General features: G+C 38.2%; 1 protein-coding gene across 57 annotated transcripts in view; it reads left to right on the top strand.

The window, feature by feature from the left end:
* The window catches only part of SEC31A (SEC31 homolog A, COPII component), an 82,061-nt gene that overhangs the window by 35,569 nt on the left and 19,077 nt on the right, over nucleotides 1-27,415 (top strand). For 10 of the 57 annotated variants that reach the window (NM_001318120.2, NM_001077207.4, NM_001400214.1 and 7 more), the window contains 12 exons: nucleotides 403-639; nucleotides 1,609-1,683; nucleotides 2,429-2,467; nucleotides 3,293-3,370; nucleotides 7,237-7,312; nucleotides 7,871-8,049; nucleotides 9,972-10,098; nucleotides 11,286-11,431; nucleotides 13,397-13,570; nucleotides 16,024-16,197; nucleotides 20,492-20,615; nucleotides 22,520-22,861. In NM_001318120.2, coding sequence (NP_001305049.1) covers nucleotides 403-639; nucleotides 1,609-1,683; nucleotides 2,429-2,467; nucleotides 3,293-3,370; nucleotides 7,237-7,312; nucleotides 7,871-8,049; nucleotides 9,972-10,098; nucleotides 11,286-11,431; nucleotides 13,397-13,570; nucleotides 16,024-16,197; nucleotides 20,492-20,615; nucleotides 22,520-22,861 — 1,771 coding nt within the window. 57 annotated transcript variants of the gene reach the window in all.

Raw genomic sequence — 27,415 nt, 5'->3', positions numbered from 1 at the left:
GGAGTTCAAGACCAGCCTGGCCAACATGGTGAAACCCTGTCTACTAAACATACAAAAGTTAGCCAGGCATGGTGGCCGGCACCTGTAATCCCAGCTACTCAGGAGGCTGAGGCAGGAGAATCACGTGAACCCAGGAGGCAGAGGTTGTAGTGAGCCAAGATCCCACCTTTGCACTCCAGCCTGGGTGACTAAGAGCGAAACTCTGTCTCAAAAAAAAAAAAACCAAAAAACCAAAAAAGTACATTTCATCTAGAACAGAAATTGAAGTGGTGTCAGACTGTGGCGCATGAGAGGTTGTATCAACTAATTTCATCCAGATTATCTGTTTAGGCCACTTTATAAGCACTTTTTTTGGCCATATCCTTGGGTTAACACTGAGTTTGTTCATTCTCTCTTTTATAGTTTGGAGGCAAACTGGTTACGTTTGAGAATGTCAGAATGCCTTCTCATCAGGGAGCTGAGCAGCAGCAGCAGCAGCACCATGTGTTCATTAGTCAGGTTGTAACAGAAAAGGAGTTCCTCAGCCGATCAGACCAACTTCAGCAGGCTGTGCAGTCACAAGGATTTATCAATTATTGCCAAAAAAAAATTGATGCTTCTCAGACTGAATTTGAGAAAAATGTGTGGTCCTTTTTGAAGGTAAAGTTGCTGTTTAAAGCTATATTATTTCATTATCTGCAAATTTAACTGTTCCTTTATATTCTAAATCTGTCCTCCTATTAAAGAAACAATTGAAAAAGTGTGATTTCAGCAATTCATCATGAAATTAAGAAGCCTTATAAAGAGCATACAACCTAACTTATGTCCAGAGTTTTTCCTTCTCTGCTTTGAAAAGTGTAATATGAAATACATTTTTAATAAGTAAAAAAAAATAATAATAGGTCTGTTTAGAGGAGAGCGACATAGTCAGCACACCTATTTTGAAGATGAGTACATAGAGTTTACTATAATGAAAACAGAATATTTAACATCTATAGTAGATCTAGTTAAGGAAAATGAAAAAAGAGGAAGAGGAATAGAGGAGAGAGGTTGGAGGCATTTTTCCTTTTACTTTAAGAGGAGTTAGATTAGAATAACAAATAGAATTTCCTGGTTGGTCATTTTGCCTCCACTGGAATGTCTGTTTCTTTATACGGTACTGGTTTTTCAAAGGTAAAGCAGTCTTGAATACAGTTAGGTTAAAGTATAAAATTAAAGAATTTATATTTTGTAATAATTTTGGGAAAGAATTTTAGGACATAGAATATTCCACATAGTTTGAGTTTTGTATCAGTTTAACCTTTGGACATAAGTTTGTATTTACAGAAATTACTGTTCAAAAGTAAGCTTTATTCAACCAGGATAATTAATTACTAGTATATTTACTATTAATAAATAACTTATTTAAAAAAATAATTCTGGGCACATGTTCTCAGGACCTCCTGAGGCTGGGTCTCCAAATAAAAAACAAAAAAACCCACTATTCTTTGGATTCCTTCAAACAGTGAATCTTTAGAATGTAGACTTCAGATATTTTTAATAATTCTCTTTGGAATTTGATTCATTCTTATAAAAATTCGGCCTTTAAATGTAGGTCTTTGTTTTAAGAATATGTCTTTTTTTTTAAAGGTAAACTTTGAGGATGATTCTCGTGGAAAATACCTTGAACTTCTAGGATACAGAAAAGAAGATCTAGGAAAGAAGGTAAACTTTTGGGAAAGTTAGATGGCATGCTCTTTATGAATCATACTTTTAAAAAATAAAGTTCTACACAGATTATCTCAAATCACCCAATAAACATTTAATAATAATTTGTGTTTGGTTGCCAGCGTTTTTTCCCTTTTTCTTTTTCTTATTCTCCATCATTACCCACAGTGGTTGCCAGAGTTTTGAATACATATTGATAAATGACTATGTAACTTGTATTAGCCTTTCATCATTCTTTGGAAATGGCTAGAGTTTTCTATAGCATTGCAGGTTGTTGCATGTGTGGTAGAGGTATACTGTGCACTTTAAGTGCATATTGAAGATTAGTGCTCTTTTGATGTCAGGCAGAACTAACTAAGATCACATCACAACCCCACTGCTTAGTGGCTATGTCTTTGCTCACTCCTTTAGAGTTTTATATTTAACTTTATTAGTAGTCTAAACTTCTTGAGGCTGTAACTTTTTTAGGCTTGTAAGAGATTGATATGAAAGTTTTACTTGCATGCCTGATGGCAAAAAATGAGGAAATAGAATGATTGTCGGATTATTTCTAATTACTTCCATGTGAAAGAAGCTAGCACCATGGAGAACCAGTTCTGCATAGCTTTTTTAATTTTTTTAAACATACTATTCCTATAAGAACTTTTGTGGATTTTCGCCAGTGAGAAGCAAGAGGTGAACATTTGCTGGATGCTCTGAAATAGAATTCCATGTAGTAGGTGAGCTGTTATTTTTATTTCAGATTGCTTTGGCCTTGAACAAAGTGGATGGAGCCAATGTGGTAAGAAGGCCTTTAAAAATAGCTACCTTCTAAAACTTTGGCTAGGTCATAACGAAGAAGGAAATATCATTTAAGAAATTTGTGTTTTATGCTTTATGGTATAAAAATAAATGCTTATTCTAGATATTTTAATAAATTAATAATTCTCATTTTAAAATAACATGAGCTTAGCTGGTAGAGCATTCCTTTCTCTTGACATACATATTTGAATTTTGTAAAGCAGGAAAAACAGAATTAATGACTACTCAAATACTTAAGATAAAATTTTTTTTTTTTTTTTTGGCCAGGAAAAAAAAAATGGTAGGAAAGAATGGGAAAGTGGGCCGGGTGTGTTGGCTCATGCCTGTAATCCCAGCACTTTGGGAGGCCGAGGCAGGTGGATCACCTGAGGTCAGGAGTTCAAGACCAGCCTGACCAACATGGTGAAACCCTGTCTCTACTAAAAATACAAAAATTAGCTGGGCGTGGTGGCACATGCCTGTAATCCCAGCTACTTGGGCGGCTAAGGCAGGAGAATTGCTTGAACTGGGAGGCGGAGGTTGCAGTGAGCCGGGATCGTGCCACTGAACTCCAGCCTGGGCGACAGAGTGAGACTCGGTCTCAAAAAAAAAAAAAAAAAAAAAAAAAAGAATGGGAAAGTGTTAGCAGTAATAGTTCTTTGCTTTTCCTCTAATGGTATTTCTCAAATAAATTTACTCACTGTTGCTTCTTATGATTAAACTAGCTCTGAATGTTGTTGGTTGGGTCTTTTGTCTTCCTGGTTCACTAATAGCCTTTTAATACTACATTCTTCACCTTCCCCTGTAATTGTTTTGTGTACCAAAGGCTCTTAAAGACTCTGACCAAGTAGCACAGAGTGATGGGGAGGAGAGCCCTGCTGCTGAAGAGCAGCTCTTGGGAGAGGTACTTATTTTTTTTTCATATTATATTGGACAAATTTGTGATATTTGTGTATCTCACATTAAAATAAGGAAAATTTTCTTGACTACTTATGGCAAAATAAAGTTGAAGTAAATTGTTTTCTTTGAGATGTTTAGGATAGGAATCTATCTACCTATACTGACAGAAGTATCATCTCCAGACTCTAGTTCTCCAACCTTGTTTCTGGATTATATGGTTTAAAACTAACAGTTGATGTGAGATTAACATAATTTGGTCAGATGACTCTCAGGATGTCAAACTGAAAAGAGATTTTATTCAAACATCCTCACTGCATTGCATTGCATGTAAAGTTAATGTTTTTCTTGGCCTATAATTTTGGGCCAACTATCAGTGGCTAATAGGCCTCTGAATTAGTACTGAACATGGAGTTGAAGTAAAGGATATTTCACTAAACTTATTGTCATGATTTTCAATAAATGTGTCCTTAGTTGATAATTTTTGTAAATAATTGAGAAGAGTCCTTGAACACAGAGTTACATCATTAATTTTTCCTTTTAATTTTCTGGGTGTTTTTTTTTTTTTAACCACTAATGAACAAATCTGTAATTTACTTTTCTTGCTTTCTAATTTTATTTCATCTTGGAAAATTAATCAACAAGTTCTTCTCATCTCATCTTTGGCTTTTTCATTGTTCTTTGTGATATCTTGACTATGGAATGTTATGTATAATTTTTTACTAAGTTATAAAAATAAGTAAATTTAGTCTATTACAAGATGATTGCAAAAATCATTCTCCTTAGAAGTGGATCTCCTAGAGTTTAATTAACAAGGGAATAAAGGATATGGATAAAATCTTTACTAAAACTTTGAACTAGGCCAGGCATGATGTTTGCTTATGCCTGTAATCCCAGCACTTTGGGAGGCCAAGGTGGGAGGATCACTTGAGGCTATGAGTTCAAGACTAGCCTGGACAACATAGTGAGACCCTATCTCTAAAAAAAAAAATAAAAAATTAGCCAGGCGTGGTGGCACATGCCTGTAGTCCTAGCTATTTGGGAGGCTGAGGTAGGATCACTTAAGCCCAAGAGTTCGTGGTTGGAGTGAGCTATGATCACACCATTGCATTCCAGCCTGGGTGACAGAGCAAGACCCTGTCTGATTTAAAAAAGAAAAGAACTAATTTTGAGAATATTTAGACAGAATTGTAAGATACATAGAGAAATGTACTTTCATTTATGTACAACTAGACTATGTATTATCAAATAGAAGATCATTTGGGAATGCACTCATGAATAATAGGTAAGAAATATATGCATTTAATGAAATAGTAGTCATCAATGTGTACTTTTGGTTCTTTGAAAAAATGTGTTTAAGGAGGTAAAATCTTCCCCTTTGTCTCAATGAGCTATTTGTTTCATAGTAGCTTACACATTGAAGGCACTCAATACCTAATAAATTGTGCATTTTTTGACCTTATATCTCGTTCAGAAGTCCATAAATAAGGATAAATTGTTTCTAGAAAGCAAATTTGAGAAATAATGAGTTAAAAAAAAGAAAAGTGGCCAGGCGCAGTGGCTCATGCCTGTAATCCCAGCACTTTGGGAGGCCGAGGCGGGCAGATCACGAGGTCAGGAGATTAAGACCATCCTGGCTAACACGGTGAAACACCACCTCTACTGAAAATACAAAAATTTAGCCAGGCGTTGTGGTGGGGCGCCTGTAGTCCCAGCTACTTGGGAGGCTGAGGCAGGAGAATGGCATGAACCCAGGAGGTGGAGCTTGCAGTGAGCTGAGAATGCGCCACTGCACTCCAGCCTGGGCGACAGAGCGAGACCCTGTCTCAAAAAAAAAAAAAAAAAATATTTTTATGCAAGTTTGTTAATGAATGTAATTAGATCAGTGTCTCTGATTTATTCCTTAATGTGAATAACTTAAATTCTTAATTTCTTTTAGTTTTTAAATTCCAAATGCTTCTCTTTAGTTGGGGAAAGGGAATTAGGGTTATAGATATTCTCCTGTAATAGTCAACATTAATAATTAAGTGTATTTGCAGATGGTGCAGTGCTGTACTCTGCATTAAAATTACCCAGTTCTAAAATGCCACTGAACTTGAATACTAGATATTTACATTCAGATGTGTAGATAACATAGCACAGAAGACAGATATTTCATCTCATGTAAGAAAGCTTTGTTTTTCTTTAAAAATTTATCTCTAATCTCTGATATATTTTTGTCTTATTTTGAATTTTTATGCATGGGAGAGAAAGCATTTAAAATTATTTGCCAGCAAAATGCCCCCATTATATTTCTTCTAAAGAAAGCATTGAGTTTATTTTTAATCAGTCTTGCAGGTAGTCTCAGAAATTTATAACAGAACTGTGTATATTTTTACCAGACTAACCCACTGTTCCAGGTATGACTAATTTGAGTAAACACAAAATGTATACTTGAATTTAAGTGTATTAATAAATAATGTACTTATATTACTTTTATGTTATGGGTACCATGTGATTTTTTTTTCATTTTTTTTTATGATTCAGTTAAAAACAAAAACACTTTATAATCAAATCCAGTGGACAGGAATTCTTAGATGTGTAAAAGTAGGTTTGTTTTAAAATTTAAAAATAGTATAATTTAAAAATATATTTTCCGGCCTGGCGTGGTGGCTCACGCCTGTAATCCCAGCACTTTGGGAGGCCAAGGAGGGCGGATCATGAGGTCAGGAGATCGAGACCATCCTGGCTAACACAGTGAAACCCCGTCTCTACTAAAAATACAAAAATTAGCCAGGCATGGTGGTGGGCACCTGTAGTCCCAGCTACTCGGGAGGCTGAGGCAGGAAAATGGCGTGAACCCAGGAGGCAGAGTTTGCAGTGAGCCGAGAGTGCGCCACTGCACTCCAGCCTGGGTGACAGAGTGAGACTCTGTCTCAAAAAATAAAATTAAATAAATAAATAAATAAATAATATATTTTCCATATTTTGAGCCACTCATAGTTACCTAAGAAAACAAAGATTCTTCAGCCTCATTACTGAGATACCAGTAATGAATATGTACATGTTAGTTTATTTAATAGTGTTCTTTTTTTTTTTTTTTTTTTTTTTTTTTTGAGACAGAGTCTCGCTCTGTCGCCAGGCTGGAGTGCAGTGGCGCAATCTCAACTCACTGCAACCTCCGCCTCCTGGGTTCAAGTGATTCTCCTGCCTCAGCCTCCCGAGTAGGTGGGGCTACAGGTGCACACCACTGCCGCCAGCTAATTTTTGTATTTTTAGTAGAGACGGGGTTTCACCATGTTGGCCAGGATGGTCTCGATCTCCCGACCTCGTGATCTGCCCGCCTCGGCCTCCCAAAGTGCTGTGATTACAGGCATGAGTCACAGCACCCGGCCAATTTTTTGTATTTTAGTAGAGACGGGGTTTCACCATGTTGGCCAGAATGGTCTTGATCTCCTGACCTTGTGATCCGCCCACCTCAGCCTCCCAAAGTGCTGGGATTACAGGCACGCACCACCATGCCCGGCTAGTTTTGTATTTTTAGTAGATATGGGGTTTCACCATGTTGGGCATGGCTGGTCCCGAGCTTCTGACCTCGAGTGATCTGCCTGCCTTGGCCTCCTAAAGTGCTGAGATTACAGACGTGAGCCACTGTGCCCAGCCTGTTTAACCAGTATTCTTCATGACCTTGGATTTTATTTATGATTATATAATGGGAGGTAATATTTAGGGAAGGCATAGATCTTAGTTGTAAATTTGGATCTGAGAACTTTTCTGGAATAACTTGGTATGTCATCTACTCTGTAGATGAAGAATCATGTGTAAATTTTTTTTGTCAGTAAATCATTCCACAGTTTTATTCTGGCTAAATTGTTGCTTTTTTCATCTCTTTAGCACATTAAAGAGGAAAAAGAAGAATCTGAATTTCTACCCTCATCTGGAGGAACATTTAATATCTCTGTCAGTGGGGGTAAGTACTTGTTGGTTTTGATTTCTAATTTTTTTTAACCATTGGAAAACAAATAGTTCCTGCATTTAAGTTAAAATGCTTCAAGTCAGGTGCTGTGGTGCATGCTTATAGTCCCAGCTACTTGGGAAGTTGAGGCAGGAGGATCACTTGGGCCCAGGAGTTTGAGGCTATCCTGGACAACATAGTGAAACGCTGTCTCAAAAAAAAAAGTTTTATCACAGGTGGTAGAGTGTGAGAAAGAACTCACTTTTCCTTTAGTACAGTATATGTGATCAGTGCCTTGGGAAGGCTGGTGTGTTCAGACACCTAGGTGATCTTTGATAATCCAGTTAAAGCATCTGGAAAATGTATTATTTTGTATTTATCTCAGCATATTTCTGTAGACCTCTTCCATAAATACCAATAGCTTGTGTTAGAAATTAATCCACTAGTAATCAGAAATTAGTGTTGTGGTCTCCATTCATGTATATATATAAAAATTGATAGATGTAGTACTTTGTTGTTGGTTTTGGTAACAAAAACTCTATTTAACTTGGATGTATTATTTTCTTGTTGCAGACATTGATGGTTTAATTACTCAGGCTTTGCTGACGGGCAATTTTGAGAGTGCTGTTGACCTTTGTTTACATGATAACCGCATGGCCGATGCCATTATATTGGCCATAGCAGGTGGACAAGAACTCTTGGCTCGAACCCAGAAAAAATACTTCGCAAAATCCCAAAGCAAAATTACCAGGGTATGTTATTTTAAAAATAAGCAATAACGTATTTATCTTTCTAATTATAAAAACAATACACTGTTATTATAGATAACTGAAATGCAGAAACCAGTAAAGAATTTTAAAAGCTCATTCATAATTCCTTGACCTGGAAATAGTTGTTGGCATTTTGGCATGATTATTCTAGTTTTGTTGTTTTTGTATATATTAATAATTTTAAAGACGGGGTCTTGCTCTGTCACCCCAGCTAGAGTCCGGTGGCGTGATCTTGACTCACTGCAACCTCCACCTTCTGGGTTCAAGCGATTCTCCTACCTCAGCCTCCCAAGTAGCTGGGATTACAGGCGTCCGCCACCATGCTTAGATAATTTTTGTATTTTTAGTAGAGATGGGGTTTCACCATGTTGGTCAGGCTGGTCTCGAACTCCTGACCTCAGGTCATCCGCCCACCTCGGTCTCCCAAAGTGCCAGGATTACAGGCATAAGCCACCGTGCCTGGCCTTATTAAATTTTTTAATTGCGGCTGGGCGCAGTGGCTCACGCCTGTGATCTCAGCACTTTGGGAGGCAGAGGTGGGGGGGTCACGAGGTCAGGAGTTCAAGACCAGCCTGGCAACATGGTGAAACCCCATCTCTACTAAAAATACAAAAAATTAACCGGATGTGGTGGTGGGCACCTGTAATCCCAGCTACTAGGGAGGCTGAAGCAGGAGAATCGCTTGAACCTTGGAGGCAGAGGATGCGGTGAGCCGAGATCACGCCATTGCACTCCAGCCCGGGCAACAGTGCAAGACTCTGTCTCAAAAAAAAACCCAAAATTTTAATTGCTCTATAATATTTCATGGTAAGAAGATGTAATGTTTCCCTTATTTTGTTATGTTTAGGTAGTTTCCAGTATTTTCCAAATAGAAATAAACACGCTTGTTTATATAGTGATAAACACCTTTGTTGTGCCTAAAGACTTGTACAAATTTCTGATTATTTAAATTGAACTGTAGTCATAGAAGAGGAATTTAACTTTTATTTTAAGTTCAGAGGTACATGTGCAGGTTTGTTATATCTAACAAACTTAAGAGTAAACTCGTGTCATAGGGGTTTGTTGTACAGATTATTTCATCACTCAGGTATTAAGCCTTGGACCCATTAATCATTTTTTCTGATTCTCTCTCTCCTCCCACCCTCCAATAGGCCCCAGTGTGTGTTGTTCCCCTCCATGTGTTCACATGTTCTCATCATTTAGCTCCTATTTGTAAGTGAGAACATGCGGTATTTGGTTTTCTGTTCCTGTGTTATTTTGCTAAGGATAATGGCTTCCAGCTCCATCCATGTCCCTGCAAAGGACACGATCTCATTCTTTTTTGTGGTTACTTGGTGTTATTTCTACATCATAAAAAAAGTAATTTTTATTGAAATTAGTTTTCATAAAAGTTGTACCAGTATTGAGTCCCATTAGCCTCATCTCATCTCAGTCTCTCCTCGGTTATCTTTTAGCCACAGTGGCTGCCTTGTAGTTCCTCCCTCACTCATTGCATGTTCCTTTCTCACTGGAACTTTGCATCTGTCGTTCCCTTGGCCTGGAAGGCTTTTTCCTTCTTGATGAAGTTAATTCCTGCTTGTCCTTCAGATCACGTGTCAAAAGTCTACATGCTTGGGCAGTTTTTCCTGATCCATCTGACCAGGTCACACCTTTCTATTAAAGGTTCTGATAGCACCTTATATTTTTCCTTCTCAGCACTTTATGAAATATGTTGTCAGTTGTTTTTGTTGTTGCTGTTGTTTCTTGAGGAACAATAATACCATTATTATGTCATTTGATTCAAAATTATACTTCATTTTGCTGCTGCATTTGGCATGAAATACTTGACACAATTAATTAGTCAGAATTAATTTTTATTGCTATGTTAAAGACTTTTAATTCTTCCTTTGTTTTCGTTTCTCAAGCTCATCACTGCAGTGGTGATGAAGAACTGGAAAGAGATTGTTGAGTCTTGTGATCTTAAAAATTGGAGAGAGGCTTTAGCTGCAGTATTGACTTATGCAAAGCCGGATGAATTTTCAGCCCTTTGTGGTAAGAGATGTGCTTTATATTTAACTGCATTTACATACGTGGCAGGGTATATTGTAAATAAACTTAAATGACAAATTTTATTAGAAACTTTTTAAAATCTACAAATCACAAAAAAGAAAAATTCTCATTTCAGTGCCTTTCTCAGATTTATTAAATACGTCTTCATACCTACTCTTTTTTTTTTTTTTTTAAATCTACTAGTGATTTTGGTTTCAGACAGACAAGAGTTGGAATCTTGCCTCTGCTACTTAGTAGCTGTATGATCTAGGAAGAACTACTTTCTAAGCCTCAGTTTATTCATCTGTGAAATAGACCATAAGTAACTCTCACTTAATAAATATTAGCTATGATAAAATTAATAATAACATTAGAATAGAAATTACCATTATAGGCCATGACTAAACTGGTGGCCAAGGAATAAATATTTGCAAGAAAAGCTTAAGGCTACTAGTATAAAAACAAATAGCCATTTGCTGCCTTGAAATAATTATAAGAATATAAAAATTACAAAATACTAACTGCTTTTTTTTTTTTTTTTGGAGACGGAGTTTTGCTCTTATTGCCCAGGCTGGAGTGCGATGGCACAATCTTGGCTCACTGCAACCTCCACCCCCTGCGTTCAAGTGATTCTCCTGCCTCAACCTCCCAAGTAGCTGGGATTATAGGCATGCACCACCATGCCTGGCTAGTTTTGCATTTTTCGTAGAGACAGGGTTTCACCATGTTGGCCAGGCTGGTCTTGAACTCCTGACCTCTGCTGATCTGCCCGTCTCAGCCTCCCAAACTGCTGGGATTACAGACGTGAGCCACCATGCCCAGCCATAACTGCATTTTTATAAGTAATTTATACTAGACTTAGCTAACATTGATAAATCTATTCCAAATGTGCCTTTAGGGTTTTTTTGTTCAAATGTTGTTCCCATTTATTGTTTTTCTAATTTAATTAATAAAAATTAGTTGTACAGTTAGATAATAGTTTTGTAAAATCATTTATTGTATACAATTTTTCATTCCCATTCATTTAACAAATGCATATTTACTGAGCATTTAGAGTGATTTTGTTTCTCTATGCTATTCATTGGTTATGAAGCTTAATCCATGCCTCTGAAAATATTATTTAGCTGCTCACAGCCTCATATACAGATTGCCTTGGGTATAATCTTATTTTATTTTCCTCTTACTTACAGATCTTTTGGGAACCAGGCTTGAAAATGAAGGAGATAGCCTCCTGCAGACTCAAGCATGTCTCTGCTATATTTGTGCAGGGAATGTAGAGAAATTAGTTGCATGTTGGACTAAAGCTCAAGATGGAAGCCACCCTTTGTCACTTCAGGTAGTATCTTTGAAACAAAAGGCACTTAATTTTTAGTGTTGTCTTTCACCCTACTTATCATCAAGTTATAATCTATAAGTTCATTTTTTCTATACATTCAAGAACTTCTTTTGCTGGATAATTATATGCATTTATTGCTATCTTTGAAGAAGCAAAGTTTGAGATGATAGGATAGGAAAATGGGGTTGCAGCTGTTGTAAAATCATGGTTGTGATTTGTGAGTTTATTGGGGGAAATAGGTGGCAGGAGGATTGAAAACAGCTCTAGGGTTTACCTCTTTTTCTGTGTGCTCCTCTGTCTGCTTCCAGTGGCTCTGCCTGCCATGAGCAAAGAAAGAAGCAATGTGGGTAAAGGAATAGGAGGCATCCCCAATGCCAGTAGAGAATCTTTATGGTTAAAGGAAAATGAAAGTGAGAGGTAAATGGAATCCCATGTAGCAGAGGTCCCCAACCCCCAGGCCATAAACCAGTACCCTTCTGTGGCCTCTTAGGAACCTGGACTCACAGCAAGAGGTGAGCAGTGGGTGAACGAGCATTATTGCCTGAGCTCTGCTTCCTTTCACATCAGTGGTGGCATTAGATTCTCGTGGGAGCACGAACCCTTATGTGGGCTGTGCATGCAACGGATCTAGGTTGTATCCTCCTTATCAGAATCTAATACCTTATGGAACAGGCCAGGTGGAACAGTTTTATCCTGAAACCATCCCCCCTGCTGGCCTGTGGAAAAATTGTCTTCCACGAAACCAGTCCCTGGTGCCAAATAGGTTGGGGACCACTGCCATGTGACACCAATACACAAGCAAGAGAGGAAGTAGAAAATGTGGGGACTATTCTCAGGTACTAACTATATATTAGATATTTTTTTCTAAGCATTTAAATCAAAGAGGCTTATGATAATTTTACCATATAATATTTCTCTTTCTGGAAAGAGATTTTCTCAACAGAGTCAGTGCTTTAAAGATCACTCTATTGAAACAAAAAAAATGGGTAGGAAATCAAGGTTTTCCTTTTAAGAGCTTCTCAGAGAAAAACACTTGTTTTACCCTTTTGGATTTATGCACTTAGGAAAGGCAGAAAGGTAGGCTATCCTTCTGCTTTCTACCAGAAGCATAGCTCCCCATTGTGGAAAGATTTGGTATTGAATGGCACATGAGAGCTTTGAGTTAAAATAGTAAACTCCTTTGGAAATCACATGCCTCTGTCTATGGGTCACCTCATAGTAGTACTATTTTTATAGGATAGATGGTGTGATGTTGTATTAGTCCATTTTCATACTGCAATGAAGAAATACCCAAGACTGGGTAGTTTATAAAGAAAAAGAGGTTTAATGAACTCACAGTTCCACATGACTGGGGAGGCCTCACAGTCATGGCTCAAGGTGAAGGAGGAGCAAAGGCACGTCTTACATGGTGGCAGGCAAGAGAGCATGTGCAGGGGAACTGCCCTTTATAAAACCATCAGATCACTGTCAAGAGAACAGCACTGGAAAAACCTGACCCATGATTCAATTACCTCCCACTGGGTTTCTCCCATGACACATGGGGATTATGGGAGCTAGAATTCAAGATGAGATTTGGGTGGGGACACAACCAAACCATATCAGATATTTTCACTCATAGTTCCTCCCATACAGGCTAGAACACAGTTTCTACCTTTAGACATCTGCCTATCATTTTCACTTTGAGTATTTGCCTGTTTTAGCTCACTAGACAAGTATCTGGTAGCTTAAGGATATTTAGGAAAAGGTGGTAACCTTCCTATCCTACCCTATCCATAAGTAAGAGGCCTTCTTCCTCCTTACTACTTTTTCACTTACCTAAATAGTGGCTGTACTTTTCTAGGAGGGATGATAACAGGTACTATATTTTTAGTGGGTTTTAGAAATCTTAGTAACTCTTGATCTTTTCCTGCTTCCTCTCATACATGGTCTTGATATTTCTGTTTGTTACTCATTTTTTTCATTTAGGATCTGATTGAGAAAGTTGTCATCCTGCGAAAAGCTGTGCAACTCACTCAAGCCATGGACACTAGTACTGTAGGAGTTCTCTTGGCTGCGAAGATGAGTCAGTATGCCAATTTGTTGGCAGCTCAGGGCAGTATTGCTGCAGCCTTGGCTTTTCTTCCTGACAACACCAACCAGGTAATTAGAATTGACCATTTTTGTAATGTTTGAGTAAGGTGAGTCCAGTAGATAACACTTAGCATTAGATGTAAACATATTAGTAGGTAGAATGTTTTGGAGCAGTTGAATTTCTGTAACCTGACTGCAGGTAAATGTTATTGACAATTCTTCAGGGATCATTTTAGGTGTATCTAAGCTGTGTTAGAGAGATAGGATAATCTTGCAGTGCGATAGATTCCTTTGTACCGACATAGTATTTTAGGAAAATGAACAGGGAAAAGACCAACTTTTTATTTCTAAAGCCAAATGCTGATTCTTCATACAAAGTTCTTTGTAGGAATATTTTATGTCAAAAAGCTATAAATGTTAATGTTTAATCAAACAAATGGAGTTGTTAACATTTTTAAAATCCCATATGTTCCATCCCAGATAGTATTGAAGTTCATTCTGTATGCCATTTTAGTTTGATACTGTCTGTGGGCAAGTATATTTTTATGTATTCAGAGCAGAGGGAACTAATTAGATTGTCCTTACTTATTGCACAATAAAACTTGGGCAAAACTATACTTGTTTCAATTCAATTCAACAAGTGGGTATAGAATGGTGAATAAGATTGCCAAGATCCTTCCTCTAGGAAGCCTCCAAACTCAATTTGGCTATGGACAAGTAAACATGAGATTCCAGAAGTGTGATATAAGTACTGTGATAAGGGTATTGGTGCTGTGGAACCCAACAAAGGGAAACCCAAACCCAGTTATGGAGCATGGGTAAAAGTACGGGTGAGGTTTGAGGAAACTTTTCCACAACAATATATCTGCATTTTGTGTCTGATGGAGCTTGATTTTGAGCCTTGCAGATACAGTCTTGTCTCTGTACTTTTTTATTAATCACTTTATTCTGTATTTTATGTATTTTTTTAGTCAATTGTTTCTAGTATTTTGTCTGTTTTAGAGAATTATTGATAAATTTCATTGAGTAAAAGTACATAATATTCTCCAGGACTATGGAGGTAGGACTCTCTAGTTGGTTTTGTATACACTTAGCTGTAAGATCCATCTCATTTGTTTCTGAATTGTTGATGGGAATGTTAGATAGAATAGCTGATACATAATCTTTTCCTTTATGGTGACTTTGGCATACTAGTTTTGTTAAGACTTTTTACCTAATAAGTAAAAAGTTATAAGTAAATAGTTATATTGAGGTATATTATAAGAACCTTTATCTTAAGACTAATTTGCTTTAAGACCCGTAGCTCATCTAGCTTAATTCATTTTCAGTACCATTTATAAGCACATCCATTTTCTATACATTATTCTTCATGCTTTTTTTTTTTTGGACTTTAAAGAACATTCTTTAGGCCAAAAAGCATAATTTTGATGTTGTTTCCTATTTATCTCAGTAGACCCTGCCTTTTTTGGTGGGGGGAATACGTCCTGAGACTTTGTGATAGCATTGTAATATATAATTCTCCCCCCCAAAAGGCAAATAAAATATGCCTAAAACATTTAAATGATCCCTTTAAACCTTTAACAAATATATAGGAATGTATAATTTTTAAAGATACTAAAATCTTGCTGAAACATTTTAACACATTGCCTTTTTGTTATTTGTTAATACTTAGAGCATATATAGGGTCACCTCATACTTTTGTAAGTCTCTATGCATGTAGATCTGTATGAGCTACAGATCTGAATTTCACATCTTAATCTTTATTTCAAAAATCTCTTTTAACATTTTCATCTCTTTCTTAAATCACCATTTTCTTCAATAACCACCTTTAGTAGTTGATTCTCTTTGGTGGCCTCTTTTAGTTATAGTTTTTTTTTTTTTTTTTTGAGACGGATTCTTGCTCTGTCGCCCAGGCTGGAGTGCAGTGGTATGTTCTCAGCTCACTGCAAGTGCCGCCTCCCTGGTTCACGCCATTCTTCTGCCTCAGCCTCCCGAGTAACTGGGACTACAGGTGCCCGCCACCACACCCAGCTAATTTTTTGTATTTTGAGTAGAGATGGGGTTTCACCGTGTTAGCCAGGATGGTCTCGATCTCCTGACCTCATGATCTGCCTGCCTCGGCCTCCCAAAGTGCTGGGATTGCAGGCGTGAACCTCTGCGCCTGGCCTTAGTTATAGTTTTTAAAGTAGTTTTGTAATTTATGAGCATTAGGTAACCACAAGAAAACATCAAAAGAGTAGTAATAAGTGATATTGGTCTTGCATAGTAACCATGAGGTAGGTATAACTCAGATCTCTGCCTCAGTTAAATTACAAGTTGCACTGTATGTCATGGACCTTTGGTGCCAGTCTTGAGTAGTAGAAAGCACAATGTCAAATCTGTGTGTCAGGGTCTATTGTATAATACCCAGCATTATGAACAAAAAGGGATATCTTGATGAATAATCTGATTAAGAAAATTAACATGCTGTCATATACCTGGGTGAACTCTCAACAGTCTGCTGTTTTTCCAATCCTTTTTAGCCAAATATCATGCAGCTTCGTGACAGACTTTGTAGAGCACAAGGAGAGCCTGTAGCAGGACATGAATCACCTAAAATTCCGTACGAGAAACAGCAGCTCCCCAAGGGCAGGCCTGGACCAGTTGCTGGCCACCACCAGATGCCAAGAGTTCAAACTCAACAATATTATCCCCATGTGAGTGATATGGTCCAGATGAAGTAGGAACACTTTTGTATTTCTCTTCAAATTGGTGGTTTTCATTTGTTCAGCAGGAGACCTTCTCTGATATGGTAAAACTAGACAATATATTGTTATAATAGATCTATTTTCTAGAATCTTGAAGTTGTATTTGTGATCTACTTTTTGAAATCATCTCTCTCATTTAGTCAAACAGATTATATTTTAAATATGAATTGGTTTTAAGTTCTCTAGGGAGATTTGTTCTATTTCTCTGTCACTCAAAGTTCACTTAAACATGTACATCTACTATTAAAATTTCTATTTGATTCATCTAACAAGCTGTAAAGTAGCAGGAAAAATCTTGGTGATTTGGTTGTTTTATAAAATATTTTTAGAAGATAGTATTTTTTGAGTATTCTTAATCATTAGTATAGGTTTAGGCTTAGTGTATTCTGTATTTGCACAATATGAAGTGTATCCAGAATACAGACTTTTTTTTTTTTTTGGACAATTTAGATATTAGAGAAAAATGAATGACCAAAGGTTTGTGAAATTTTAGATTATGTGGAATGTGAAAAGAACTAATAATTTTATTTAAATTACCAAATGTTTGGTGTCATAAAATGTGGCTTCTTACTATTTTTTACTGTTTCACATGGAAACTTCCATATTTCCAGACCAGCAGATAACCTTCATGTACTTAAATGAAGAATATTTTTTCCATAGGTAATAAATGGTCTTGATTGATAGCAAAGTTAACAGGTACTCTGCCTATTTTAAAATAGAACAAATTGCTGATAGGATTGATGGAGTCTTTTTACATTTTGTTATAGCAAAAGTAAATATAAAATCTTGAAAAACAAAAAAAATTAATGCCCTTTTGTCTGTTATGTTTTTGTTTGGTACTACTAAATCAGGATAGATTACATTTGAATGTAACTGTTAACTCTCTAGAATACTCTCTATTTTGACTTTTTTCATTCATTTGACAAATATTTTTTTAAGACCCTGCCATGAGTGCCTGGCATTGCTCTGGCTGCTGTGGGGGTATAGTTATGAACAAAACAGAGTAAATTCCCCCCTTCATGGAGATTGCACTAGACTTAGTCTGTGACATAGGTAGGGCAGAACAGATGATGGCTGGGAAAACTGAGAAGCAGAGATGTCAAGCAACCCACCAGAACTGAAGACACAGAGCTTGAATTTCTCAGCGTTGCATGGCTGGTTACCGGCCAAGTTGGGATTAGAACTCCCAAGCGTCTTGTTAAACCAAGCTACCTGTCAGGTACTGAAGCAAGGCAAGCTCTACATTAGGAAAAGAGAATATTTGCTCTTTATGTCCTTAGCTTTTTCTTTCTTGAAAAAGATAAAAACATTGAAAGATTTGTTATACTTTGATTTACCAATCTTACACTTGTAGGAAAAGACAAAGTGAATCGTAAATAAAGCAGTGATTTTCTTGATTAAAGCTTAAGATGTACTGAATGAATGAGGACAGTGGCTTGTGGTTTTAATGCAGTGTTAACAGGCAGAGGCAAGGGGGTGAGAGAGGCCAGATCAGGAGGACTTGCACTTCCACTTTGACCAGCGCAGCTTTGCCTTTACAGTTGACCCTTGAACCATGTGGGTTAGGGGTACCGACCCTGCGTACAGTTGAAAATCTATGACTTCACTCCCCAGAACTTAACCCCTAAAATTAGCGTGCTGTTGACTGGCAGCCTTGCTGATAACATGAACAGTCCATTAACACACAATTTATATGTTGTATTTATTATATACCGTATTCTTAACAATGAAGTAAGCAGGCCAGGCGCGGTGGCTCACGCCTGTAATCCCTGTACGTTAGGAGGCCAAGGCAGGTGAATCCCCTGAGGTCAGGAGTTCGAGACCAGCCTGGCCAACATGATGAAACCCTGTCTCTACTAAAAATACAAAAAATTAGCTGGCATGGTGGCGCATGCCTGTAATCCCAGCTACTCAGGAAGCTGAGGCAGGAGAATCGCTTGAACCCGGGAGGCGGAGGTTGCAGTGAGCTGAGATCACGCCATTGCACTCCAGCCTGAACAACAAGAGCAAAAAACTCTGTCTCAAAACAAACAAACAAAAAAATAATGAAGTAAGCTAGAAAAAAGAAAATGTAATTAAGGAAATCATAAGGAAGAGAAAATATATTTACTATTCATCATTAATATTCATCATTAAGTGGAAGTAGTCTTCCTTCTTGTCATCACATTGAATATGCTGAAGAGGAGGGGTTGGTCTTGATGTCTCAGGGATGGCAGAGGGAGAAAAGGTGGAGGAGGTGGAAGGGGAGGCAGGAGAGTCAGGCACACTCAGTGTAACTTCTATTGAAAAAAATTCACATCTAAGTGGACCCATGCAGTTGAAACCCATGTTATTCAAGAGTCAATTGTATTATTATTATTATTATTATTATTATTATTATTATTATGTTTTGGAGTTTCTGCAAAGATTTACTTGACAAAAAGGATTTTGATGGCTTAAAAAAACAAACAGGCCGGGCGTGGTGGCTCACGCCTGTAATCCCAGCACTTTGGGAGGCTGAGGCGGGCGGATCACGAGGTCAGGAGATCGAGACCAGCCTGGCTAACACAGTGAAACCCCGTCTCTACTAAAAATACTAAAAATTAGCTGGGCATGGTGGCAGGCGCCTGTAGTCCCAGCTACTCAGGAGGCTGAGGCAGGAGAATGGCATGAACCTGGGAGGCGGAGTTTGCAGTGAGCTGAGATCGCACCACTGCACTTCAGCCTAGCGACAGAGTGAGACTCCACTCCGTCTCGGAAAAACAAACAAACAAACAAACAAAAAAACAATGGCCTCTAGGGCAAGCAACATGGTGTAGTATAGAAAACACTGGCCTGGAAATCAGGTGACTTGGAATCACCATTGAGTTGTACGGTCCCTTCACTTCTCTGGGCCTTGGTTTTGTCAGCAATAAAGGGTGGGGATTAGACTGGAAGATCTTTAATATTCAGCTTTAATACTCTGATTGTATGAGTTTTAAGCTTCATATTGGACTGATATGACTTTTGTGGCTGTAATGAAATCCAGAAAAGAGAGCTTATACCACTGTGTTTGTAGATTAGTAGTAGCTTGAATACTATTAATGCTTCCAAAAAAAAAATCACTTTTTTACTCAATTACTTTTTTTTTTCCTGGAATGTCTTTTTTCCTTCTCTACTTACAAAGCCTCACTTTACCCACTTATAATTGACACTTGAATGGCATTGTTCTTGTGCTTTGATTTAGGTTTTCATATTGATTTTTCTCCTGCCTTCCTCTCCCTGTTTCATTGTGATTGTGTGGTTTTTGTTGTTGTTGTTTTGTTTTGTTTTTTTGGGAATTCCAGCTACCTTGAAAGCAGTTGCCTGACTAATGTATGTTATCTTGCCAATCTTACCTTTGGCTTTGCATCTGGCTATTAATACCTTTTGGGGTTTTTTTCTTCTTTTAACGTTTTCATTTTTTATTTTCTGTGATTGGTATTTCTTTGTTCAATTCAGGTTAGAATTGCCCCTACTGTCACTACCTGGAGTAACAAAACTCCTACTGCCCTTCCCAGCCATCCACCTGCAGCCTCTCCCTCTGACACACAGGTATATCCTTCATTATTCCTCTTTGAGCAGAATTCTGCTCACCTAAATATACAGTTATATGTTCTCTACTTACCTTCCTCAAGCTCTTTCACCCCCACTCCCCATCCATCTGCCTGCTCATTGCATTTTAATGCTTTTAGGATGCAAGAAGCAGTTTTTAGCACAATTAATTTATTTCCTTATCCTTCCCCTCCTTCTTTTGCAGTTTTAAATTGACTTGAACTACAAAAACACCAACCAAGGTTTTGACAATGGTTTAAATCTGATTTTACTGAAGACTTTTTTTCTTTTTTCTTTCTTTTTCCTTTTTTAGCATTGCAGAAATTGAAGAGAAACAAAAGATCCCTTTATGGCATTTATACTTATATTTACAGAGTGGAGTAGTGGATGGAAATTAGTAGAGATGGAAAATCCTGGTGACATTTCATAAATATTTTTAAAGGCTGTTAGCATCTTTTGCCATTCATTGCAATTATTACTTTGGATCTGTCTGATCTTTAATCATTCAAAATGTGCTGCTCAGAAAATGTGGTATTATGAGGAAGATAGAATATGCAAAATGCAATGTTTCTTATGCAATAAAGTTTTTTTTTAAATAAACATAGAATTCCATTTCAGAGATTGTAATTCCATCTGGTGAAGTTCCTGGTTCTACTTGTATCCGCCTTCTTACCATGTTCTTGTTTCTTAGGGAGAAAATCCTCCACCTCCGGGTTTCATAATGCATGGAAATGTTAATCCAAATGCTGCTGGTCAGCTTCCCACATCTCCAGGTCATATGCACACCCAGGTACCACCTTATCCACAGCCACAGCGTAAGTAGTGTGACCCCAAAGTCCTTTCAGAGCAGTATTTATGATCTAATTTAGTAACTTTACTTTGAAGCCCCAAAGTCATTGTCAAATCAATAAGTAAGAACCATTGTGCATAGGATTCCTGAGTCCCTGCTACAAAGAGACATGTTTTTTTAGGAGGTGGCCTGAATCACTATGCTAGGAAGTAGCTCCTTTGTCACACTGTTCAGAGTAGTTGACTCCTGTTCCTCAGCCATTACTAAGACTTGTTAAAGATAATCAAGTGTCCCATGATTTTGGTATAAAGAAACAGAATTTTAGAAATTATTTTTTACATATTCTTTTTCTTCAGGCAAGATGACACAAATTATTTTTGGAAAAATGGTTTCAAGGGGCATTTGTTATTACTGTTTTTCCATTTTATTTATTTATTTAATAGACTTTGTATTTTAGAGCAGTCTTAGGTTCAGAACAAAATTGAGCAGAAAGTACAGAGTGCCCCCACTATTGACATCCTACGCCACAGTGGTGTATTTGTTACAATCGATGAACCTACATCAATGTCTCATTATCACCCAAAGTCCACAGTTTACACTCTCAGTGTTGTACATTCTGTGGATTTTAACAAATGTGTAATGACATGTATCTATTAGTGGCATTTTTAAAAGAAAATAATTATACCTGGAAAGTGAAATATTGCCACTATTTGAAAATTTAAATGCAAAAAAAAAAAATAAAAATCTCAAAGGGGAAAATTTAATGAATGTGTTCTGTGCTAAAATGAATGTTATTGTTCAACATAAATATGAATTTGATACAACCTTTCACTCAAATGTTTAATGTGAAAGCTGTCTTCAGAGTAGATAGGAAACAGATCCACTTTTACTAGATTCACTCTATCGAGGTTCATACCTACTCTTGGTCACAAAGAATGTGAATGTGATGGTATTTATATTTAGATCTCCCTAAGCCACGCATGGTGGTTCATGCCTGCAATCCCAGCACTTTGGGAGGCTGAAGTTAGGAGGATTGCTTGAGGTGAAGAGTTTGACCCCAGCCTGGGGAACAAAGGAAGACGCCATCTCTACAAAAGAAAAATGTAAAAATTAGGTGGGTGTGGTGGCACCTATAGCCTGTAGTCCCAGCTACTCAGGAGGCTGAGGCAGGAGAATCGCTTGAGCACAGGAGTTTGAGAATACAGTGAGCTACGATCACACCATTGCACTCCAGTTTGGGTGACACAGCAAGACCCTGTCTCAAAGAAAAAAAAAAAAAAACCCACAACTCCCTAATCTGGGTTTAGGTCTTTGCATTAAAACATGAGTTGGCTGCCTTGCCTGATTGTTTACTAACCATCTTCATACTGTATGTAAAATTTTGTTAGGGATCATAGAGTTAGCCGTTAATCTGGAACTGTGCTCAAACTCAGAATTTCAGTAGCTGGTAATTTAACTGGATGTTGGAGAAGATATTTGATACATAACAATAGTGTTCACCCTACAGTTCTTATTGGGAGGGAGGTCTGGAGCTGCCACCAAACTCCATGTAACTTTTTCTGTGAAGTGGGGTGCTTTGAATGTGTAATTCCTCCCTGGTTCCATCTGGTGGTCACTGTTGTCTCTTCACAGGATCAGGAAAAGTCTCAGAAAAGGGTCAGTCTTGCAGTTCTTGGGTCTGATGATTCAAATATTTTCATAACCAGAGGCAGTTTGGGGATGGCATTTTTCAAATACTGAAGCTATTGAATTCAAGTGTATTTGGGGCATTTGAGCCTCAAAAATATAATGGTGTAAATTTTTAATTTGGGATTGTAACTTATTTTGATTAAAATCATTTCTATAGACTGAGATAACTTTTTAGTTTTCTGCTACTATCTGAATAAACTTGTAACTAATTGAAATTTCTGTTTCTTCTCCTTGGTGTAGCTTATCAACCAGCCCAGCCGTATCCCTTCGGAACAGGGGGGTCAGCAATGTATCGACCTCAGCAGCCTGTTGCTCCTCCTACTTCAAACGCTTACCCTAACACCCCTTACATATCTTCTGCTTCTTCCTATACTGGGCAGTCTCAGCTGTACGCAGCACAGCACCAGGCCTCTTCACCTACCTCCAGCCCTGCTACTTCTTTCCCTCCTCCCCCTTCCTCTGGAGCATCCTTCCAGCATGGCGGACCAGGAGCTCCACCATCATCTTCAGCTTATGCACTGCCTCCTGGAACAACAGGTACACTGCCTGCTGCCAGTGAGCTGCCTGCGTCCCAAAGAACAGGTCTGCGCTTGAAAGGGATTTGGTTTGGCCCCCTCCTTTATTTGTTTATGAACAGATGGGTGGATGGAGGGGTATTATTTCTAACTGTTTGTAAACTGGGTAATGTGAGGTGTTGACTGAGGTTTGGGTTTGTTTTTTGTGTTTTTTGTTTGTTTGGTTTTTTTTTTTGTGATGGAGTCTCTCTCTGTCACCCAGGCTGTAGTACAGTGGTGCACTCTCGGCTTACTGCAACCTCTGCCTTCCGGGTTCAAGCGATTCTCCTGCCTCAGCCTCCCGAGTAGCTGGGATAACAGACATGCACCACCACACCTGGCTAATTTTTGTATTTTTAATAGAGATAGAGTTTCATCATGTTGGCCAGGCTGGTCTCGAACTCCTGACCTCAAGTGATCCACCCGCTTCGGCCTCCCAAAGTGCTGGGATTACAGGTGTGAGCCACTGAACCTGGCCTTGATTGAGTTTTTGTTGTTGTTGTTTTTGGGGTTTTTTTGTTTTTTTTAAGACCCAGTCTCATTCTGTTGCCTAGGCTGGAGTGCAGTGGCGTGATCTCGGCTCACTGCAACCTCCACCTCCTGGGTTCAAGTGATTCTCCTGCCTCAGCCTCCTGAGTAGCTGGGACTACAGGCACGAGCCGCCAAGCCCAGCTAATTTTTGTATTTTTAGTGTGTGTGTATATATATATATATATATATATATAAAATTTTTTTTTTCTTTTTTGAGATGGAGTCTCATTCTGTCACCCAGGCTGGAGTGCAATGGCATGATCTCAGCTCACTGCAACCTCCGTCTCCCGGGTTCAAGCGATTCTCCTGTCTCAGCCTCCCAAGTAGTTGGGATTACAGGTGTGCACCACCAAGCCCAGCTAATTTTTGTATTTTTGGTAGAGACGGCTTTCACCATGTTGGCCAGGCTGGTTTCAAACTCCTGACCTCAAGCGACCCTCCTGCCTCAGCCTCCCAAAGTGCTGGGATTACAGGCGTGAGCCACTGCATCTGGCCATAAATAAATTTTAAAAATAGAAAAAGTATGTTTTTGTACAGCTATACAATATTTATGTTTTAAGCTAAGTGTTATTACAAAAGAGTCAAAATTAAAATATTTAAAAGTTTATAAAGTAAAAAAGTTACAGCAAGCTAAGGTTAATAAAATAATTTTAAATAAATTTAGTGTAGCCTAAATGTAGTGTTTATAAAATCAACAGTAGTGTATAGTAATGTCCTAGGCCTTTACCTTCACTCACAACTCACCCAGAGCATCTTCCAGTCCTCTAAGGTTCATTTGTGGTGAGTGCCCTATACAGGTATACCATGTTTTAAATCTTTTGTACCATATTTTACTGTACCTTTTCTATGTTTAGAACACAAATACCATGGTGTTACAGTTGCCTACAGTATTGTGTTCAGTACAGTAACATGATGTACAGGTTTGTACCCTAGGAGTAATAGGCTATATTATACAGCCTAGGTGTGTGGTGGGCTATACCATCTGGGTTTGTGTAAGTGCACTCTGTGATGTTCACACGACGATGAAATCATTTAATGATGTATTTCTCAGAACGCATACCCATTATTAAGTGACACATGACTGTATAATATTAAAGTCCAGAGTACCAAAACTTACACACATACACACTGTATGCATAATCCTTAACTACACAAATAAGATTCCAGTAATACACTACAGATACATCAATAGTTTGATATTTTAGAGAGGAATGCTAATTCATTTGTAGAGTTCCAAAAATTACCTTTTAAAACTTGGGTGACTGAAGATAGTATCCTTTCTCGGTAGTTGGGTAAGAATCAGAATTCTTGAGTGAAAGAGGTGGCGTGGGTTGGAGTAAATCCCCACTTAAAAAGTGGTGCAGGGAAGTAGGGAAGGGAATTAACATTTATTGAGCTCATATTGGACATGTTCTGGCACTTGTTATATGTTTTCTTATTTAAGTCTTACAACCTTGAGAAGTAGTAATAATTATTTCTTTAAAAATTACAGATGAAAAAACTGAGTTTCTTAGGAGTTATGTTTCAGGATTGCACAGTGATAGTCTCCAAGTTGAGATATAAACCAGGTCCCTATCTTCAAAGCCCATGTTCATTCTTCTATACCAGGTAGTTTAGTCCTGGTGTAAATGATAGAAAACTATCATCATTGCAATTTCAAAAATCATCCAGCAACACTGTTTGAGGCATTTGTTACTTTATAATCTAAATTAAATGTTTGCATAGATATTCTTTTTCTCCTTAAGCAGAAGTGCCTGTGGCCTTGAGATTAGTCTTTGTTTATATACAAAGTAACAGAATGTTTTAACCTGGCTGAGAAACAGAGTGACTAACAGGAAGAGGAAGCCAGACAACACTTTTCAGTGTTCAGCATGCAGTATGCTTGTCTGCTTTGTTACCTCTTGCACGTTAGTAGTGTGCTATATTTTAATCTACTGACAACTGTATCTTATAGTAGTCTGCTGTATTTTAATCTACTGACAACTTTATCTTATTTTCTTTTTGGATTTCCTAAAAGTTTTTGCTTAGGTTATTTAAATAATTATAAATGAGGCTGGGCACGGTAGCTCACACTTGTAATCCTGCCACTTTGGGAGGCCGAGGCAGGTGGATCACCTGAGGTCAGGAGTTGAGACCAGCCTGGCCGATGTGGCGAAACCCTGTCTCTACTAAAAATACAAAAATTAGGCTGGGCGCGGTGGCTCATGCCTGTAATCCCAGCACTTTGGGAGGCCAAGGCGGGCGGATCACCTGAGGTCAGGAGTTCAAGACCAGCCTGGCCAACATGGCGAAACCCCGTCTCTACGAAAAACACAAAAATTAGCCAGGCGTGGTGGTGCATGCCTGTAATCCCAGCTACTCGGGAAGCTGAGGCAAGAGAACCGCTTGAACCCAGGAGGCGGAGATTGAAGTGAGCCGAGATCGCACCACTGCACTCCAGCCTGGGCAACAAGAGCGTAACTCCATCTCAAAAAAGAAAAAAAAATACAAAAATTAGCTGGACGTGGTGGCGGGCGCCTACAATCCCAGCTACTCAGGAGGCTGAGGCAGGAGAATCGCTTGAACTCCGGAGCAGAGGTTGCAGTGAGCTGAGATCGTGCCACTGCACCCCAGCCTGGGCGAAAGACCAAAACTCCATCTCAAAAAATAATAATTATAAACAAAAATTTTGTCGTTCCGATATGTCTTAGATAACAATTTTGTTTAGGATTTAGAAAGTCCAGCTGTTCAATAGTTAATTTCTGACAGATAGGAGAGACTTTCAAGCCTTCTATTAGTGAACAACAAAATTATGTGCTCAGGGCTCAGAGAAACTAATGTTGCAATCTGTAAAACATTCATTCGGTAAATTCTCAATGGATACCTGTTTGGTCTACAATCAGAATTATCCCAGACAGAGATAATGGAGGCAGAAAAGACCATACATTTCTAGTGAAGAGCAAATTGAACATATAGTTTGTATTTAGGCCAAATTTTGGAGAGCCTTAAGTACCAGGGCAAGGAGTTTTACTTCATATAATACAATAAGAAAGAAGTTTCTCATGAAGGATTTTGAACTGCTGAGTGGTGCAGTCAAAGTGGTACGCGAGGGAGATTAATCTGGATGTGGCCTTGCAAGATAAATTGTTTGCAGCACAGCAGAATCAGAGGTAAGAAAACAGGCTCTTTCCTAGTTCTAGGTAGGAGATGGTAACAGCCTGAGTTGGGATAGTGCATTGCCGTTTCTGTGATGGCAGCACAGGATAGCAGGGAGTTTTCCCTGTTTTACTATCTAGGATAACTGCCTGTCACTTTTGTTTCTGTTTCTAGGAGGGAGAGCACTTTCAAATATGAAGACTAATTTAATTTATGTATATAATCTTGTACTTCACAAAGAAGAGTCTTGAAGGGGAATAATACTGTATATTCTCATGAAACAGTGTTCTGAAATTTAAAAAAATTTTCATGAACATTCCTTAGGCAAATTGTAGCACCTGGTTTTAACTATTCAAGTAAAGGAAAGCATGATATCCTTCCTTACTTTTCTTTGGATAATTCTATCTTGTATCATTAGAAAATGACTTCAAGGATTCATGTCTTTCTAAATTTTCATTTTTAATTTTGTGATACTCATTTTAAACCTGTGACATGCTAGGCTTATAGGGAAAGGAAAGATGTATGGTTGACAAAGATGCTCTATTCTCTATTTCAAATTAATGTTCTAGCCACAATTCTCTATGCTTTTGGCACTAACATTTTCCCTGAGTCCACTGAAAAGTATCTTAGCCAGTGCATAGATTCTACCATTATGCTCCTATAAGAGTACCTAAGAAGGTTTCCAGTGAGAAGTGGGATTGGGTAAGGATGCTGTGCAACTCCACCCATGCATGTGAGACCAGCAGTTCCCTCTTCCTTCCCCCAGTGATTCTCTGGAAGATAAATCTCTACGCTAAGGTGGATAGGACTCCATAGTATTCAGTGACATGCTATATTTATTTTTTAAATGAATGTTTCTTGGGGCGGGCACAGCAGAGTGCATGAGCCCTGGAGTTCGAGACCAGCCTAGGCAACA

The sequence above is a fragment of the Homo sapiens genome, chromosome 4 (genome assembly GCF_000001405.40).
Source record: "Homo sapiens chromosome 4, GRCh38.p14 Primary Assembly".
Taxonomy (NCBI): domain Eukaryota; kingdom Metazoa; phylum Chordata; class Mammalia; order Primates; family Hominidae; genus Homo; species Homo sapiens.
The sequence above is the reverse complement of the archived record's forward strand: the minus strand, read 5'-3'. Positions and strand labels throughout refer to the sequence as shown.